The 13,884-nt window shown below is 43.4% G+C and overlaps 1 protein-coding gene across 2 annotated transcripts in view; it reads right to left on the bottom strand.

Moving 5' to 3' along the window:
• The window catches only part of ARID5B (AT-rich interaction domain 5B), a 195,246-nt gene continuing 183,619 nt past the window's right edge, over positions 2,258 to 13,884 (bottom strand). For both annotated transcript variants that reach the window (NM_032199.3, NM_001244638.2), the window contains 2 exons: positions 13,302 to 13,500; positions 2,258 to 8,340 (listed from right to left, as the gene is read on the bottom strand). In NM_032199.3, coding sequence (NP_115575.1) covers positions 6,172 to 8,340; positions 13,302 to 13,500 — 2,368 coding nt within the window. In that variant the 3' untranslated portion in view covers positions 2,258 to 6,171. The remainder of the gene's footprint in view (positions 8,341 to 13,301; positions 13,501 to 13,884) is intronic.

The following is a 13,884-nucleotide window of genomic DNA, read 5'->3' as shown; positions in this document are numbered from 1 at the left end:
GCTGGGATTACATCGTTCCTGGCCAGAGGTCACTTCTGACCCCATTCCCACCTTCTGCCACTTACATACTTGTTGATATAAATATCACCTATTTCCTGGTCACTATCAGCCCTAAAACATTTGTCAACTTTGGCCACTTTCCTAGAATAGACATTGGGCTTGTCATTGCTTTTGCCCTATGAGTGACATCTTTAGCAAAAGCACCTCTTCTCCAAATAGTATCCGCCAGCCAGCGCCTGGCAAGAATGGATAACTTACAATGTTTCCTATCGCGTAGGAATCAAGTATCAGATCTACAAATGCTGAATGTGTCACAGGTGGAAGAACGTTCTTCTGATGTACTCACAGCAAGTCACATGATATGGTGAAATACACATGACTCAGAATGAGGGCCAGGGGACCATGGGGCTGGGGGTTCCTCCTGTGTTTGTTTGTCGGGTGCGGGATTAGCTAAAGAATGACAGCCAGCAAGAAGAGGGTGAGGCTCCTAACATGTTGCTGCAACTCCTGCTGACCCCGATGTGAATGGGCAGGGTCCTTTGGAGAGTCAATAACGATGAGGAAAAGGATCCCGTGGCTTTTACCAAAATACATGTTTCTTTTCTCCTCTGAGTTGTGGTGACATGCTTGCTAGCAGCTTACTCTTTCCTGTCTATCAAAGCCATCCTGACCATAAGTCCTGTTCCCCACACCTCTCCTCCCTCTCTAGGACTCATAAGAAGGGAACAAATAGGGTGTTACTTTGTAAATGCCTCATTTCAACTCACGATAAGCTGAGCAAAGCCAAGGGAAGCCGGGGCAGAGGTCAAGGGAACAAAAGATCAGAAATCTTTGTCCATCACCACCAGGTCTACGATTAAAAGATGCAGACCTCAGAATACGCAGTGTTTCCCCAGATTTTCAACCCTTCCTGAGTATCTTTCCATCAATTGCCCTATTTAATTAATCACCATGTTTGCTCATTCCTCCTTCTAAGTACCTCTGAAATGTGTCCACTCTCACCTTCCATCACCCCATTGAAATGACCACCACCTCACTCATGTTAGATTGCTCTTAAGTTCCCCTCACACAACAGCCACAGGATGATATTGAAAAAGACAAATCTTTCTTGCTTAGGATAAAGAGAAAATTGATCAAATCAATCTGGTCTATTGGGACCTACCCGCCTGGCCCCTGCTACGCTCTCTAACCTCACTCCTTCAACAATGCAATCAAGCCCCACAGGCTTTTCTCAATTCCTCTAATAAGCCAAACTCGTTCCTGCTTCAGGGCCTTTGCACATGTGGTACCCTGTGCTTGACCTACCCTCCTCCCAATTCCTTCCCTCCCATACTCAGCCAGTCACTTTAGTCACCACCTCCTCTTTGTGTGTCATTATACTCCTCAAACTCCTCTCCTGGAACTCAGTCACACTGAAGTTTTGAATTTATAGGAATGACTATTTGATGAACTCTCTTTCCCATAAGATTTATAAGCTCCCAGAGACAATATTTTATATTTTATTTACCATTGTATTCCCAGCTCCTAATACTATGCCTGGCAATTGGGGCATGAGTAAATCTTTGTTGACTGAATAAAAAACAATAACTTGGCCTGGTACAGTGGCTCATGCCTGTAATCCCAGCACTTTGGGAGGCTGAGGCGGGTGGATCCTGAGGTCAGTAGTTCAAGACTAGCGTGACCAACATGGTGAAACCCCGTCTCTACTAAAAATTAAAAAATTAGCTGGGCGTGGTGGCACGCACCTGTAATCCCAGCTACTCAGGAGGCTGAGGCAGGAGAATCGCTTGAACCTGGGAGGCGGAGGTTGCAGTGAGTTGAGGTCGCACCACTGCACTCAGCCTGGGCGACCGAGTGAGACTCTGTCTCAAAATAAATAAACAAACAAACAAACAAATAAATAAATAAATAACTTTTCTGATTATCCTACCAGCGGAGGAGGATGGTATACAAAGGAAGTACATAGATGAGAGCCCTGGCTTCAAATCCTGACTCTGCCATCTGTTGGGTGATCTTGGACCAGTTGATTTACCTCTCTAAGCTTTAGTTTTCTCATAAGTAAAATAGGTATAACCATATTTACATAAGGTTGTGAAGATAAGAGGTATTTGCCAAATGGGCACCCACTAGGTCCTTAGTGAATTACAGACATTGCCATCATTACTGTTATCATTCAATTTGGACAGATGGGGTGGAAAGTCTTCTGGGGAGGCCACAGGCTCCTCAGGAAGAGTGACAGATTACTCACACCCAAAAGGAAACAGATAGTAACATTTTTTATTAAATATTACAGTGGATCAAAAAGTACAAAATATCTCTTGCCTGCTATGTGATTGGGAAACTATTGGCACGTAATACAGTATCAAAAGCAGTAATAAGTACAATTTGGAAAACATACAAAATTGAGTGTTTATAGTTGGCTCAGCATTCTTCTGGTAGTGTTTAAACTAATGCAAAGGTTACTCAATAACCTCTCCATTGGGAAACTATATAATATCACTGGGCCATGTTGCTATATACAAATAATCACCTTACAGAGCATAGAGGTTACATAGCTGGAATCACCAAAAGTATACAATATTTACAACACAGGAAAGTTTAAAAAAGTATAAACAGCCAAGAGATTATGCTGCTATTCTTCAGACATATTTCAACCATGAGGAGACAGGCAGAATATCAAATACACTAACAGCCAACACTGGACTTTAAGTGCTCAAGATAATCATTGCAATGGTATGGGTCTCACCAGGGCAAACTCATTCCCATTTCTCTTTAAAATTGGGACAAGAGTAAAACTAGACCAGATGCGACTTGGCTGACCACCACCAAATGTGACTTTGTGGGACGATAAGTGAAGAGAAATAAATGGTTCTCTTTGAAGGCACACTACATAAAATATTTTTGTGGGACCACCTCGAAATTTCCATCAGACACACCAACACAGTGAAATACAGTACTTGAGAATTCATGCACCAGGTCAGAAAGTTGTAAAGTTAACATCGAGTTTTAACAAACCCTTCTGTATATGCCCTGATAAACAAGTGAACTTAAGAGCTTCTAGCTAGTAAATAAATAAGTCAGTCCTGTGGCAAATATTACAAGTTTGAATCACTTACTAGAAGAATACTTAATTCCGAAACTCGGTTGGGCTGTTTTTATTTTTTTATCATGTGGAGTTGCCAAACATTAAACCAGAAGTTGCATGGAAGTTTTTTAAAAATATTATTTAGAATCTCCAAATCTCCAATAAATCACAGACTTAGTGCATTTTGAATTGCAACATTTCTTGGAAGCCACACTCAGTAAATAGATTTATGACTCCACTGCCAATTCGATTCCACAGTTTCCTTTACAGAACTACCAATAACAATGGTTTGATTGCACAAAGAAAGGCTTGTGCAATTCCATTCAATAATAAGGCCCCTTGAACTCAAACAATGCAAACAAAGCCTTATTTAAGACATTTTAAAACGTCGTTCTCAGCCAATGAAGAATTCAATGGTCTTTTTGAAAGATTTCCAAGATCTCTGTTCAGAGTTTTAAAACAAATAACACACTGCTTCTGTTGGGAATGCGTACCCCCATTTCTCTTTATTTGTCCTGATGTTTTGCCGAGGGTATGAGCTTCCTCAGACAGAAACAGTGAGTCTCCTCTCAGAAGAGATGAGAAAAACAAAAGCTGGACTATGTTAACATTGTTTGAAAATGGTGTGATCGAATTCCAACATGATGAAACCAGACTGAAATCATTGCAGTGGAAAAAACAAATGCCCCATATTCCAAATAGGTGAGCTCCACCGGGGACAGATGCCCCCCCTCCTTTTTTTTTTGAGACACGAACTCATAGAAACCACATATGACCTAGCCCATGTCTGCTGCAGAACCACCGAAGTTTCCTTTTTCTTCCATGTCCTCCGATTCTGTGACCATTCAATCTAGTGCAACTTTCTTATATGTGTCCTGGCTAGCATCTTGCCAGCTGGAATTGAGATTTTTCCCCCCTCTAGCTTGTGCAATAGCAGGATAATCTGCACTCACACATTTATAATCTAAATTCTACTAGTCTATCTATGGTTCTATTAAATATATATATATATATTATTCCACAGGAAGGTAAATAATTAATTGAAGCAAATGGAACTCTTAACACTGGATCTCTACATTCTTTTGTTTCCACCTTTGGATATTAAGTATGTTACATTGAATATTTGGCTTCATATCATGGAGACATTTCAATACAAATGCACGGCATGCATGGCTTTGTTTAAGAGCCGCAGTTTCATTGTTATCAGTTTTGATTATTTTGCAGTCGAGTTACCTATTTAGAAGTTGAAAATTGTCACCAATTTTCCCAGAATTAAGTATCTCAGAGGTAAAAGACTTAGTTAACTATGGTTCTAAAGTCTACTGGTAGTGTTGCGGGAGGGGCACAGTGGGTTGGGGAGTTCATCCAAGCGGTCTTCAGCAGGGATGGGACTTGGGGAGAAAATCCACTCTCTGTATCCATTGACTTTTAATTAATACAGTTAGAAAATGTGTCCACCTTAATGTTATATCTCGGTAGCAAATGGAATACAGTGGCAAGAATGACAACGGACATTCTCCACATCTTTTCACTGCCTGAGCAGCTTGACCATTTACTTCCCACAATAAAAGAAACCAGAAAGTGGACTGTATTGCCAGGTGGTTAAAAACATGACCCAAACCACCTTACATGTTTCTGTGTGTGTACACACAAAACTCACACCCCATAAAACCAAATAGGATGACTTTTCTTTTGAAAAGGCTAATCCAGTATGTCAGTTATCCCCAAAGATGTGGCCTGGGAGATTCTTCTTGGGAATGACAAGAAACCAACTGGATGAAAACAACATGACTACTTATCACTCAAAAGACCGAGGCTAGAGAAGCTATCAGGACTGCAGCTGCTCCTCTTCTGGCCAGTTGAGCTCCATCCTCTTCCCAACCCCCTTTCCCAGACCATTTAAAGGAATCAGTGCCAACGCCAATGTAAATCATTTTGGCTCCTGTTCTAATTTCTGAAATTCCTAAAATATCTGTGCAGCCCACAAATATGTCCTCTAGACTCTGTTGTTATTCGGCAGCTTGCTGCCAGTGAGGTTTTTGTTTTTATGATTCTCTGGTATGTAGGACAGTTTCACAGCCTAGATAAGGTAAGTACAATGCTCAATATTTTCACAGAACCCAATACTTCAAAGCAAAGCATTTGGCTGGGTAAGCAGTGTATAAGCTCTTTCAACTATGCCATTTATGAGGAACAAAATCCTTAAGTTGCGGATCTACAAAGGAACGTTCTTTGCACTATTGTGTGCTTGACTGTTTCTTTTTCATTTGTTCCACTAGAATCAGTTGCTTCAATTTGTAAACAATAACTTTACCACCCAAAGCTGCTCAAAATAAGATGTGGAAAAATTACAAACACACAACAACTAGGACAGTCAGTCAGCCTCAAAAACAAAACAAAAACAAAAAGACCTGCAAACAAAAGCAATACCATTTAATAAAAAAAAAAAAAAAAAAAAAAAAAAAGACGAGAAGGAACTGGGAGAAAATGGAACTACCTGTATATAAATTAGGTGAGCAAACAGTGATACAGGTAGTTTTAAGAAGCAAATATATACAGTCAATTTAACAGTGTTTACTTCTCTGGATTGTTTAATAGTGTCAAAATGAAAGATCTATTGAAGTTTCACTATACATTGCATTGATTGAACCTTGGAGAGTTTTATGAAAAAGAGGGGCATCCCTTGCCATCTGTTTGCCAGTCTTCCTTGCCCCTTCCTTTGAAATGCCTGCCTCTTTTTTGCCCAGATTGTTTCCTGACCATCCGAACTCAGATGGGGTCCTCTAAGTTCTTCCTGGATATTCACAAATCCCTTCACAAGGCCCACGTGCGAAGTGAATGATCTGGAGGTGCCTGGGCATCTGTGTTGGAAGGGAGTCAAGACTCACCAGCCAGTCAGTTTGTGGGCTAGAGTTGTCCCACAAAAATCAGGCATGTTCACCTCCCCTCTGGGCCCCTACAGCTGGGACTGATCATAGCCTCAGATTAGAAGAAATACTGACTTCTAACTCTATAAGCCAGCACTCCTGGGTAAGGAGTGAAGCTCTGTTGGCCATGCCGCTTTGGACTGCTGGGCAGAGCTGAGCCTACAGTTTTGTACTGGGGTGCACGGATGACAGCTGGGAAGATGGAAAGGCAGCTTGAGGATTTATAGCAGCTAAAGGGTAAATGCTGTTATGCAAAAGGTCCCCATATGAACTTCCTACAGGTGTAGCCGCAGCCAAGTGTCTGTACAGCTGCTGAGAATTTGTCGGTGATGTAAAAATTCCTCTTTGCATCACAAGCGAGTGGAAAGCCAGGGGCTGCATGAGTGGAGAAAGCACAGTCTGGTTTTTCAAGTACTGCAGAGAATGAGAATACCCAGCCGGGAGCCTGGAGTTGAGGCCCGAGTTACACAGGCTCCCGGAATACAGACCTGGGAAGATAGGGGAGGAGAGGGGAAGCTTGTGGCCTTCTGATCCGCCCCCGGAATGCCCACCGTGCGCTGCTTTGCTGCCTTCACTCTCCTGCTCAGAGGCCTTCTCCTTCCCAGAGACCTCCTTGGATGGGTCTAAGGGAGACACTGCCCGGGCCTTTTTCCCTGCAATCACAAGGTCCAAATCCTCCAGGCTGCGCTTGATCGGCCGCGCCGCCCCAATGTTCTGCGGGCTCATTTTCCGGTGCAGGATTGGGTGGACCATGCCTTCCATCTTCCTGAAATTCTCCAGTCTCACATGGTGAGGTTTTCCTGATCTTGAAAGCGATTCAGGGTATTTTTTAGGGCCTGACATGGTCATGGGTGATACCCGACAGGCTTTGGGGTGACAGTCTCGACTCTGGCTGCCTAAGACCTGGAACTGGGAGATGCCTTTGCTCTCCTGGGGCCCTGTGGTGGAATGAGCCAGGCCCAGGACCTTGCCGGTAGGTTTGTGCGGGTTCTTGGGAAGGCTCAGATCTGTAGGCTGATCATCCGTAGGGGCTTCTGCTGCCGCCGACTTTTTGTCTTGCAGGTGCAGGGACGTGAGATAATTTACATGGAGCTTTTCTTGGTGTCTGTGGGAAGGAAAAGAACTGTTTTCCGATTCCCTGTACATGTCCCTGGAAGGGTATTTGGATGTCTGTTCATTATGAAGATGGTGCTCGGTGTGTCTGTAGAGGCTATGGAGATGAGGGGACGAGTAGAAGTCAGCCAGGAAGCTAGGCATGTGGGAATGGGGGAGGGCCCTTTTCTCTAAGAGTTTATCCTTGCCCTCCTGAATTTCTTGCTTCAGGACGTAGGAGTCAGCAAGGGGGTTAAGGTGATGCTTGGAGAAGCTGCAGCGGTGGGGATCTGATCGACTCAGTTTCTCATGCTTAAAGATGTCATTGATGGTCTTTCTCTCTTCCGAGGGCTTGCTTCTGAAACTCTGGACGTGCTGAATCACTGATGGCCGGCTGACCGCCATATGGTCAGTGCTTTGGCCATGGTGGGTCTGGGACAAACTGGAACACAAGTCATCCCTAGCAATCAGTTTCTTTTTGCTGATCAAAGGGGGTGGGGAGCCATAAGGGTAGCTGCTGGAGAGGCTGGCCCCACTCACTTGGGACAAAAGCTTTTTCTTGGCCAGTGGGGACATGATGCCTGGGTTGCCCCTAGAGTAGAGCAGGGGCGTGTAATTAAGTCCATGGTTCTCGTTCATGGGCCCAGTCAGGTCTTTGTCTTTGAACATGTCAAACGACTGGACCACAAGGACCTTTGGGGTCTGCTTGAGCGCATTGTGGATGTCGTCACTGCCCAGCTGGTCCACCTTCACGGTGCAGTTGGCAATGTAATCTGCCATGGCGGGCAGTTTGTCATCCTCCGTCTCATTCTGGTTTGCCAGCGGTGGCTGTGTGGTGGGGAAGCTGGGGAAGGATGCTTCTTGGGGTTCACTTTCAGGGCTCTCTGTAAAACAGCACAGTTTGGATTCTTGTTTTGAGTCCACCAGGGCACTAGGAGAGGTGAGTGGCTGTTTGCTGGCCCCAGGGACCAAGGCTGAATCTTTTTCTGGGGCCAGAGGAGCACTTGGGAGTGGAGGTGTGGGCCCCTTCTCTCCCGCCTCCTCTGCCACCTTCTCACTGTTGGAACCTTGGTCTGTTTCGTTGTCCTTCTCTGGGTCTACTCTGGATGCCAGGGGCTTCGCTGAAAATTCCTGATACCCTTCTATTTTTTTCTTCATGTCTGCTGCTGGGAGAGGCTCAGGGATGCTTTTCTGGCTTATTAAAGTCTCTTGTTCTTTTTCTTGCTCTGATGAAACCTGGTAACATATTTCAAAAGACAGTCAGAAGAAAACCAAATACACAGACATGTTTTGCTATGAAATAAAATATTCCACACAGCAGTTTTACTTGAAAACAGGCTTGTCAATCAGCTCGTGAAGTTTCTGTAAAGCTTTATTACTCCCCAATCATGGCTCTAAACAAAGAAATCTAAATTACAGAAACATTAGGGGAAATATGCATATTCGCTTCAGTCCCTTATGAGATACCTATCAAAATAGCAAAGTATTATGTACTGATGGTATACAATCATATCACTCCTTGATTCTAATATATAGTTTAATTCTAAGGTTGTCTTCTTGTCAAATCAGTCAATTATCCAAATGGGTTTTAAATTACATGTTGTGTTTTATGATACTCCTGAGAAAGATTTTTTTAAAGCATTTCTCTTTCAAAAATCCAACCAACCCCATGTTAACGACAAACAACAAACCTATTGCAACTCCCTGCTTTCCTTAACAGGGCAAATCCCTTCCCAATGTATTCAATATGATGCACTGAAGATTAGCAATGCATAAGTGTTAATAATTTCTACTCAGGGCCAGATGATATGCAGATAATGCTAAAATATTGACAAAGTATGAAGATTTCTTGGCAGCCTGTCTACCAGAGGGACAGAGGAGACTAAGTCCTTCTAGGTTGCAGCAAACTACATTTCTATTAAAGCCCAAAATGAAGTTGTCAAAATTCAGACAGTCAGTGCCACCGCAAATATAGCTTTGCTGTTGAATGAAATAAATTATAGTCAATGAGACAGACACACTCCTTATGTGACCCTACTGACAGAAGTTGTGGGTACCAATTCGACTCATTTACTGCATTATGCAGCCATATAAACTTTGACCTTAGGAGGTCATTTTAACTTTCCATCTATGACCCAGCTGACTGACAAGCCCTTTCAAAACTGCTGTCATTCTGCCCTGACATGTCTTAGCAGAGCAGTCACAAAACAGTTGTACTGAGCTGGTATTCTTCCCCTCCTTTTTCCATCTCATCCCTTGAACTTTGTTCTTCTCTGTTAAGAAAAGATGTGCCTGTAATCTCAGCACTTAGGGAGGCCGAGGCAGGCAGATCACCTGAGGTCAGGAGTTCAAGACCAGCCTGGTCAACATGGCAAAACCTCATCTCTAGTAAAAAAACAAAAATTAGCCAGGTGTGGTGGTGGGTGCCTGTAATCCCAGCTACTCAGGAGGCTGAGGCAGGAGAATCGCTTGAACCCCAGAGGTGGAGGATGCGGTGAGCCGAGATCATGCCATTGCACTATAGCTTGGGCAACAAGAGTGTAACTTTCACAAAAAAAAAAAAAAAAAAGAAAAAGAAGGAAGGAGGGAGGGAAGGAAGGAAGGAAGAAAGGAAGGAAGGAAGGCAGGCAGGCAGGAAGGAAGGAAGGGTGGGTCTGCCAATTAGCATCTTTGGGTAAGATTGAGGATGCTGGTTTAGGAATACGTGGGAACAAAAGTTTTAAGAAATCACACCTATTTCACAGGTATTTTTCCTTAAATCCCTTTAAAAAAAAAACCCTGAATTTTAGGGACATGTTATACCTAAGAGACTTTGCTTATCATCATTATTTCTTTTTATTTTTTGTACTAGTAGCTGCCTTTTCCAGTACAAATATCATTACTTCTTCTACATTAATAATCATCACATTGGTCTCTTGAGCTTATACATGACACAAAAATAAAGACAAATGAGTATGGCAAGGGAAAAAGGCAAATTGCATCTAATTGTTAGTTTCTTATGGGGCTATAGTTTGACGCAGGGCAATGAGGGATACTCAGTCTCATTGAAGTTTCTATGATGTAGAACTGCAGTTATATCAGAGTCCCATGCTTCGGGTTGTAAAACAGGTTTAGGAAGTCTTTGAAAGCTAGGCAGAAAAAAGTAAAGGACTTTTTTTCTAGTAAGACATTTTATGATCTGCTTAGTATGTTAAATGTTAGCTTCCCACCATGCAACTTGCAATCCCATTACTTGAATATAGTGGATTCAACTAGAGGGAATTTCTCACCCTTTGTATCTCCATTGAGTTCACCGCTTCATATTGAAAACACCAAAAACTAAAAGCGATGAAAACAATAAAATCCAAACCAAAAACCCCAAATAGAGTTAATGAGAAAAAATACACCTGGCTAATAACATGGTTCTATGTTGGAGGTGAGAAGTGATTCGTATTATAAGGTCAACCTTGGAGAGGGTGGAAGATTCCATGAGGTTTAGATAACCTCATCATGACAACTTTCAAAACCTGAGACACTTACAGCTCCCTGAAGGGAACAGTTGCAGCCTACAGGAAACACAAAGCCTAACAGCTTTCAGGGTTTCTATGGACTCCAGGGAGTAAGGCTCCACTCTTGGGCATGGTCATCATCCAAGCTGACAGGCTCAGTGCATAGGCTAAAGATTCCTCCTACCATTCACAAACCAACCATTTCAAACTTAATCCCCAAATTGGAGATATTCAACGGTCAGCTGTCCCCTTGGTCCTCAGTTTGTCCCCTGGTGTTTTGTGTACATATGGCAGCTAATAGAACACACTCATCTGAAACCCTATAATAAATCACCAGGCCAAAAGTATCAAGGAAAAATGGAATGTAAGCATGCACTTGGAATTTCCTTGCTTTTGGCCATTTATGTTGCAAGCTTGCAGATGTTGAGAAATCTGCATCATCTGGCCAGGGACGGTGGCTCACACCTGTAATCTCAGCACGTTGGGAGGCCAAGGCAGGAGGATCATTTGAGGTCAGGAGTTCAAGACCAGCCTGACCAACATGGTGAAACCCTGTCTCTACTAAAGATACAAAAATATTAACCGGGTGTGGTGGTGCATGCCTGTAGTCCTAGCTACTCGGGAGGCTGAGGCAGGAGAATTGCTTGAACCTGGGAGGCGGAGGTTGCAATGAACCGAGATTGCACCACTGCACTCTAGCCTGGGAGACAGAGAGAGACTCTGTCTCAAAAAAAAAAAAAATCTGCATCATCTTCTTCCTCCTCCCCCTTTTTAGTTACTAGAGCTTAAAATAATTATGAAACCTAATAAAAACAAAAAACCCACAAATTTCTAATCTTGGTATCAATACTATTTTCTTATGTAAGAGTCAGCTGGGTAAGTTGATGTCTAGATGGGAGGTTGGTGCGTGTTGTACATGTGCAATTTAAACCAGTGTTTAATTATGGAGCCTCTTATGTGTTCATTATAAACCTGATTTTTTAGGGGGTATTTAATATCAGCATCAAAATTCCCTCTGGGGTTGAATCCTAGAACATGCTGTCTCCAAATGTGGCTGCTCAGTTTTTTTTTTTTTTTAATGGGCAGCAGCGTTTTTTATTATTCATGTTGAAATGGAGCCCAGATCAGCCTACATGACTGGCTACATGCTGGGGGTAATGGCTTCTACCAAAAGGCTGTTGGGGGCTTAAAAAGTGCAGAAACTACCTGTTAATATGAAAAATAATAATGGTTTCATAGGAACCATTTCAAAATTCCCCTATAAATAATATGCACTTAAGATCTTTTTTCCTTTTTTTTTTTTTTTTTTTTGAGATAGAGTCTCTCTCTGTCACCCAGGCTGGAGTGCAGTGGCCTGATCTCGGCTCACTGCAAGCTCCGCCTCCTGGGTTCACGCCATTCTCCTGCCTCAGCCTCCTGAGTAGCTGGGACTACAGGTGCCCACCACCACGCCTGGCTAATTTTTTGTATTTTTAGTAGAGACGGGGTTTTACCGTATTAGCCAGGATGCTCTCGATCTCCTGACCTCGTGATCCACCGCCTCGGCCTCCCAAAATGCTGGGATTACAGGCGTGAGCCACCGCGCCCGGCCACACTTAAGATTTTCTTAAATTGGTCTCAACCCATGGCTGTTGCACAGAAATCAATTATGGGAGACAAACACTTCTCTAAAGTTTTCAGGAGAGTCTTGCAGGATACAGCACCACAGTTCCAAGGTCCCCTTTCCTGGACCTCCAAAGCATTTTTTTTGAGACACGGCTTCACTCTGTCACCCAGGCAGGAGTGCAGTGGTATAATCACAGCTCACTGCAGACTTTACCTCCCAGGGCTCTGGTTATCCTCCCACCTCAGCCTCTTGAGTAGCTGGGACCACAGCGGGGCACCACCATGCCTGATATTTTTTTTTTTTTTTTTTTTTTGAGATGGAGTCTTGCTCTGTCACCCAGGCTGTCGTGATCTCAGCTCACTGCAAGCTCTGCCTCCCAGGTTCATGCCATTCTCCTGCCTTGGCCTCCCAAGTAGCCGGGACTACAGGCGCCCACCACCACACCTGGCTAATTTTTTGTATTTTTAGTAGAGACGGGGTTTCACCGTGTTAGCCAGGATGGTCTCCATCTCCTGACCTTGTGATCCGCCCGCCTCAGCCTCCCAAAGTGCTGGGATTACAGGTGTGAGCTTTGTTTGTAGAGACTGGGTCTCACCATGTTGCCCACGCTCTTCTTGAATTCCTGGGCTCAAGCAATCCACCTGCCTTGGCCTCCCAGAGTGCTAGGATTACAGGCGCGAGCCACCATGTCCAGCCCCAAAATATGTTTTAAAGTCGCACCAGCACCTCAGATAGACGGGCTGTGGAGCGGCCAAGAAGCCATGTTTTCACAGTAAAATTCTTTGATGTTAGTGTGGCTCTGGACCCTTTTCTCTTGAAGCCTGAGCATTTGCTATCAGTTTTCTACAGGATGTTTGTATCTTTCTAGATTCTATTCCTGGGCTATCTCATTCAATACTAGGCATTGGATTTCATCTCATGAGCAAGCTGAAAGGCTTTCAGGAACTGGGGAACTATGTGGGGAACTGTGAAGCTTAGATTTCTTGGTTTCTTCATCAAGCCATCCAACTGTGCAGGGACACAGCTGTGGATTCAGGGCTCCAGAAGGACCTCGAGGCAGCACATGTCTTCCAGAGGTATTTCTATGGAGCAAAGCAACTCACCTCTGCTGCATCCTGGGGCTTTGGGGCATTTTCTTTTTCTTTCTTGCTTTTAGGTATTTCATGTTTGATGCGTTTGGTTCCAGATACTTTTGTTTTGTTCTCATTTTCCTGTGAACTGTTCTCCTGTTTCCGAGGTTTGATTGGAGGCAGGGGCTTATCTTCTTCTCCTTTAATAAATCTTTCATATGGTAGGATTAATCTAAAAGGTTAACAGAAGAGATGATCGGTCAGTTGAGTAATTCCAGTAGCATCAATGCTATGGGGGTTTACTTTCTTTTCTCAATATAAGCAAATTATTAAATGACTTCATCTCCAGTGACAGTGCTATACTTCTATAAACTTACTCTACACTTTAGTGTTCTGCTTCCTTGGTCAAAATCAGTACCTGGTAACTTAATACTTCTCAGCAAGACCTCTTTTTGGTTTTGTGGGTCTATAGACCAAGATACCAATGGAAGCATCCAACATTAACAATATCACCATCACTCCCCATGGCACCTGGCTAAGTGCTAACAAAACTGCAACAATAATGCTAGCTGCTTTACCAGTCCATCAACAACTATTTATTGAGCACATACTATAG

Source organism: Homo sapiens, chromosome 10 (assembly GCF_000001405.40).
Source record: "Homo sapiens chromosome 10, GRCh38.p14 Primary Assembly".
In the NCBI taxonomy this organism is placed as follows: domain Eukaryota; kingdom Metazoa; phylum Chordata; class Mammalia; order Primates; family Hominidae; genus Homo; species Homo sapiens.
The sequence above is the reverse complement of the archived record's forward strand: the minus strand, read 5'-3'. Positions and strand labels throughout refer to the sequence as shown.